At 50.7% G+C, this 6,189-nt stretch overlaps 1 protein-coding gene across 2 annotated transcripts in view; it reads left to right on the forward strand.

Annotated features, from left to right (window-relative positions):
* Positions 1–5,395, forward strand: part of KIF1C (kinesin family member 1C) — a 30,452-nt gene extending 25,057 nt beyond the window's left edge. For both annotated transcript variants that reach the window (XM_005256424.3, NM_006612.6), the window contains one exon: positions 462–5,395. In XM_005256424.3, the coding sequence (XP_005256481.1) occupies positions 462–1,145 (684 nt within the window). In that variant the 3' untranslated portion in view covers positions 1,146–5,395. The remainder of the gene's footprint in view (positions 1–461) is intronic.

The raw sequence follows: 6,189 nt of genomic DNA on the forward strand, positions 1-6,189 counted from the left end.
TAAAGTTTGCAGTTTTGTTTTGTTTCTGAGGTGAAGTCTTGCTCTGTTGCCAGTCTGGAGTGCAGTGGCACAATCTCGGCTCACTGCAACTTCCGCCTCCCAGGTTCAAGCCATTCTCCTGCCTCAGCCTCCTGAGTAGCTGGGACTACAGGCGCGCACCACCACACCCGGCTAATTTTTTTTTTTTGTATTTTAGTAGAGACGGGGTTTCACCATGTTGGCCAGGATGGTCTTGATCTCTTGACCTTGTGATCCGCCCACCTCAGCTTCCCAAAGTGCTGCGATTACAGGCGTGAGCCACTGCGCCCGGCCCTAAACCACTATTTTTCGAGCTTCCTTATCTCTAGGCTTTTCTCTGGACCCTTTGACATCCAGCCACTCCAGGTCCCTCTTGAATCCACATGTCCTGAGGATTCAGCTCTCCTCACATCCCTTCTCCTTTTCTCACTCCTCCCTCCCAGGATCATGAGGATGAGAATGAAGAAGGTGGTGAGGTCCCCTGGGCCCCGCCTGAAGGATCAGAGGCAGCAGAGGAGGCAGCCCCCAGTGACCGCATGCCGTCAGCCCGGCCCCCCTCGCCACCACTGTCAAGCTGGGAGCGGGTGTCACGGCTCATGGAGGAGGACCCTGCCTTCCGTCGTGGTCGTCTTCGCTGGCTCAAGCAGGAGCAGCTACGGCTGCAGGGACTGCAGGGCTCTGGGGGCCGGGGCGGGGGGCTGCGCAGGCCCCCAGCCCGCTTTGTGCCCCCTCACGACTGCAAGCTACGCTTCCCCTTCAAGAGCAACCCCCAGCACCGGGAGTCTTGGCCAGGGATGGGGAGCGGGGAGGCTCCAACTCCGCTCCAACCCCCTGAGGAGGTCACTCCCCATCCAGCCACCCCTGCCCGCCGGCCTCCGAGTCCCCGAAGGTCCCACCATCCCCGCAGGAACTCCCTGGATGGAGGGGGCCGATCCCGGGGAGCGGGTTCTGCACAGCCTGAACCCCAGCACTTCCAGCCCAAAAAGCACAACTCTTATCCCCAGCCACCCCAACCCTACCCAGCCCAGCGGCCCCCAGGGCCCCGCTACCCCCCATACACTACTCCCCCACGAATGAGACGGCAGCGTTCTGCCCCTGACCTCAAGGAGAGTGGGGCAGCTGTGTGAGTCCCACATCCTGGGCAGAGGGCCTGGTGGGGCCCCTTGCTAGGAGAAGGGAAGACGCCCGAGACGCTGCTTCCCCAGAAGTGCTGGGGCAGGGAGGCCCAGGAGATGAGAGAGAAGGTCCGAGTAGGTGATAGAAGACAAGGGGGAGACCGAGCCGGAGGCTGAGGAAAGGAAGAGGGCACGGAGTTGCCAGGAGCAAACCAAAGTGAAGAGAGAGATAGGAAGCTGCCTCGGGGCCACCCCTTGCAAAGGGGGTGTGTCCCACAAACGCTGCTATGGGTGGGGTGGGGGGCTGGGGTGCTGCGTAGCCAGTGTTTGACTTTCTTTTCAAGTGGGGGAAAGTGGGAGAGGACTGAGAGTGAGGCAAGTTCTCCCCAGCCCCTGTCCGTCTGTCTGTCTGTCTGTGGTGGTTTCTGTTTCTTGGGAGGCATGGTAGGATCATAAGTCATTCCCCTCCCCTTCCAGGCCTCCTGCTATATTTGGGGGACCTGACTGGTTTGGCTGGAGTCCCATGAGGATGTGGGCCCTTTAATAAAGGATAGCAAACAGGGAGCTTGTGGCCTGTTTGTTTTGGGTTTTCATGGAGGTGTAGGTTATATAAGGCAATGGCACAGGTCTTAAGCATACTTATCAGTGAAGTATTGTATGTGTGCTCTGTGCAGGCACCACCCAGATCTGGATATAAGAATGTTTCCATCTTGTCTTCCTGAACTTCACCCTCCTGTCTCTTCCTTCAGGGTGCGCAGCCCGATCTTTTCCCCGCTTTTTTTTTTTGGGAGACAGGGTCTTGCTTTGTTGCCCAGGCTGGAGGTACAGTCTTGGCTCACTGCAGCCTCCGCCTCCTGAGTAGCTGGGATTACAGGCATGTGCCACCACGCCCGGCTCATTACTGTTTTTTTTGTAGTGACGAGGTTTCACCATATTGGCCAGGCTGGTCTCGAACTCCTGATGACCTCAAGTGATCCGCCCACCTTGGCCTCCCAAAGTGGTGGGATTACAGGTGTGAGCCACCGCGCCCGGCCTCCCCTGCTTTCATGTTTGCTTACCCAGTGTCTCAGTCTGTGCCAGCAGCACCACTGTCTGTTATGGACAAAGCACAGAAGCGGGGATGCGAGGGGAGGTAGAGGGACCGCCAGCCTGTCAATGCTTAACTGGCTGTTGCTGACAGATACAGAAGGATTTGTGGGGTACAGAGGAGTTCTGCTTTAAGTCACCTAACTTACTTGAAAGGTCTCCCAAGCAGCCAGTTTCTCTTGATAGTGAATGGGTTGGGCAAGCATACTGCGCTTACCTGATTGTTTTCATCCTGGTTGTGTTACCTGCCTTCTGGCAGGCTACATCATTGTTCCCAGTCGTTATTTTATTTGTGTTAAGACTGTTTGTTGGCCAGGCGCAGTGGTTCACGCCTGTAATGCCAGCACTGGGAGGCCGAGGCAGGTGGATCACGAGGTCAGGAGATCGAGACCATCCTGGCTATCATGGTGAAACCCCATCTCTACTAAAAATAAAAATAAAAAAATTAGCCGGGCATGGTGGCGGGGGCCTGTAGTCCCAGCTACTCAGGAGGCTGAGGCAGGAGAATGGCATGAACCTGGGAGGCGGAGCTTGCAGTGAGCTGAGATTGCGCCACTGCACTCCAGCCTGGGCGACAGAGCGAGACTCCATTTCAAGAAAAATTAAAAAACTGTTTGTTGCCTGCTTGTTTTAATGTTCTGGCTTGAGGCAGCGAGCCCTTGACTATGCCACATTGCCAGGATTTTGCAGGTTAGATTGTACTACAGCACTGCCTTTGGCTTGCCAGACTCTGGAGTCCCCACATTTTCATCCTGTTCTCAGGAAAACACTTTGACCCACTTGAAGCTCTGAGCTACTGCTTCACAGCTTCCTGGGGTCAGTCTCCAGCCAAAACCATAGATATCCCAACTGCAGCCAAACCACGGCTCTGGGCGAAGGAACGATTAGGTTTACTCTAGGTTTCCACACCCTGATGCTCCTGCCTTTACTTTGACACCTCTGACTGCCAGGTTTTCACAGACCTGTTGACAGTGACTCAAGATCTGGAATGTAATGGATGGTTTGGCAACAGTGTTTGCTTGAGCAGTTTAAAATCTGGCCAGGGAGACTCAATGTGAGCAAGAAAATGATAGAATACCAAGTTTTCTGGAGGTCAGAGGGAGCTGAGTTGAGTGTTACCGAGAATGCTGTGGGGTTTGAGATGAGAAAAATAGCTTGCTAATTTAAAAGACGGATTATTTTTCCCTAAAGACCTTGACTTATGTAAATGTATATTATCCATAATTTTAAAAATCCACTTATGGCTGGGCACAGAAGCTCACACCTGTAATCCCAGCACTTTGGGAGGCTGAGGCAGGAGGATCAGTTGAGTCCAGGAGTTCGAGACCAGCCTGGGCAACATAGTGAAACCCTGTATCTACAAAACATAGAAAAACTAGTTGGGTGTGGTGGTGTGTACCTGTAGTTCCAGCTACTAGGGAGGTAGGAAGATCACCTGAGCCCATGGAGATTGAGGCTGTGGTGAGCTGTGAAGGCACCACAGCACTCTGGCCTGGGCAAGAGTGGGACTCTCTCAAAAAAAAAAAAAAAAAAAAATCCACATATCCAGCCTTCCAAGTCAGTCTTTAATAATGTGCACGGGCCAGGCACAGTGGCTCACACCCGTAATCCCAACACTTTGGAATATTAGGGTGGGAGCATCACTTGAGGCCAGGAATTTGAGACCAGCCTGGGCAACATAGTGAGACTGCCCCCCCCATCTCTACAAAAAATAAAAATCAAAAATAATACTGTGGGCAAACTTTACTTAGATTTTATTCAGAGTAGTGCCTGTTTATTTTTCATCTGTGCTACCTGTGCCGGCATTCCATATGCATTTGATTTAGTCTTTAAAGTACCCCGGTAAAATAGGTCTTTTGTCTGCATTTTTCAGATGGGAAGACTGAGGTTTTGTTTATTTATTTTTATTTATTTATTTTTTGAGACGGAGTCTCGCTCTGTTGCCTAGGCTGGAGTGCGATGGCACAATCTTGGCTCACTACAACCTCCGCTTCCTGGGTTCAAGCGATTCTCCTGCCTCAGCCTCCTGAGTAGCTAGGATTACAGGCGCCCACAACCGCACCCGGCTAATTTTTTGTATCTTTAGTAGAGACAGGGTTTCACTATGTTGTCCAAGCTGGTTTCGAATTCCTGACCTCAGGTGATCCACCCGCCTCTGCCTCCCAAAATGTTGGGATTACAGGCGTGAGCCACCACGCCCAGCCTATTTATTTATTTTTTTAGAATCAAGATCTTGCTATGTTGCCCAGGCTGAACTCGAACTCCTGGGCTCAAGCAATCCTGCCTCCCAAGCCAAGCAGCTGGTACTGCAAGCATGTGCCACCGTGCCTGGCTCCTGAAGACTGAGGTTGGTTTAGATTAATGAGTTGCCCAAATTCAGACAGTTCTTAAGTGGCAAAGTTAGGATTCCAACCCAGGTCAACATAACTAAAGCCCAAACCCCATCTCACCCCTCTAGGCCATCAAGTATTGGCTGGGTGCGGTGGTTTATGTCTGTAATCCCAGCACTTTGGGAGGCGGAGGCGGGAGGACTGTTTGAGCTCAGGAGTTTGAGACCAGCCTGGGCAACATAACAAGACCCTGTCTCTACAAAAATATATAAATTAGCCGGGTGTACTGGCTCACACCTGTAGCTACTTGGGAGGCTGAGGTGGGAGGATCGCTTGAGCCTGGGAGGTCAAGGCTGCGGTGACCTGTGATTGCACCACCAGGAGACCCTGTCTTAAAAATGTATATATAAAAATAAAAAGAACATCAGACATCACCATCACCTCGCTTAGAATCCATGGGGCCTTCTCCTCAAATTCAATCTTCCCAGGCATTTCATGAACTTGCGTCTAGTTTCTGTTCCCTCTCAAATTGCCCAGGCTGTCCTGTGAGTGACAGCAGCTATTTCGTGGGCCTCCTCTGGAATCATGAGAAGTCACCCAAACAATCTCAGTTTTCTAGCTCACTCCGTCTTGACATTTCTACACTGTCATCCTTGGTTTTCTTGGAAATTAATTTGCTTTTCTTCATTGTCTTTCTTTGGAGCTGCTTTCCTTTTGTTGGTTACTATTTTATTTTTAGCTTCTCACACCATACCGACATATGTTGGTTATTCTTTTAGACATGTTTTTTGTTGTTGTTGTCACCTGGAACTTTTGTATCTTGAATAAATTTGGGGATCAAATACATTTTTTCTCCACCAGTCTTATTTATACCTTTCTATATTCAGAGCTTCAAATTTGGTTTGGTTTGAAATTGTTCTCCCCCCAACCTTTTTTTTTTTTTTTTTGAGATGGAGTTTTGCTCTTGTCGCCCAGGCTAGAGTGCAGTGGCATGATCTCCGCTCGCTGCAACCTCCGCCTCCCGGGTTCAAGCGATTCTCCGGCCTCAGCTTCCCAAGTAGCTGGGATTACAGGCATGTGCCACCATGCCCGACCAATATTTGTATTTTTAGTAGAGATGGGGTTTTGGCATGTTAGCCAGGCTGGTCTTGAACTCCTGACCTCAAGTGATCCGCCCACCTCAGCCTCCCAAAGTATTGGGATTACAGGCATGAGCCACCATGCCTGGCCTTTTTTTTTTTTTTTTTTTTTTAACTTTTATTTATTTTCGAGAAGGAATCTCACTCTGTCGCCCAGGCTGGAGTACAGTGGTGCCATCACAGCTTATTACAGCCTCAACCTCCCAGGCTCAAGTGATCCTCCCACCTCAGCTTCCTGAGCAGCTGAGACTGCAGGTGCATGCCACCATGCCCAGCTAATTTTTTGTAGTTTTCTAGAGGCAGGGTTTTGTCATGCTGCCCAGGGTGATCTGGAACTTCGGAGCTCAAGCAATCCATCCATGTCTGCCTCCCAAAATGCTGGGATTATAGGCGTGAGCCAGTCACCTTTTCCCTTTTATTTTATTTTATTAATTTATTTTTATTTTATTTTTGAGACAGAGCCTTGCTCTGTCGCCAGGCTGGAGTGCAGTGGTGTAATCT

The sequence above is a fragment of the Homo sapiens genome, chromosome 17, assembly GCF_000001405.40.
Source record: "Homo sapiens chromosome 17, GRCh38.p14 Primary Assembly".
Taxonomy (NCBI): domain Eukaryota; kingdom Metazoa; phylum Chordata; class Mammalia; order Primates; family Hominidae; genus Homo; species Homo sapiens.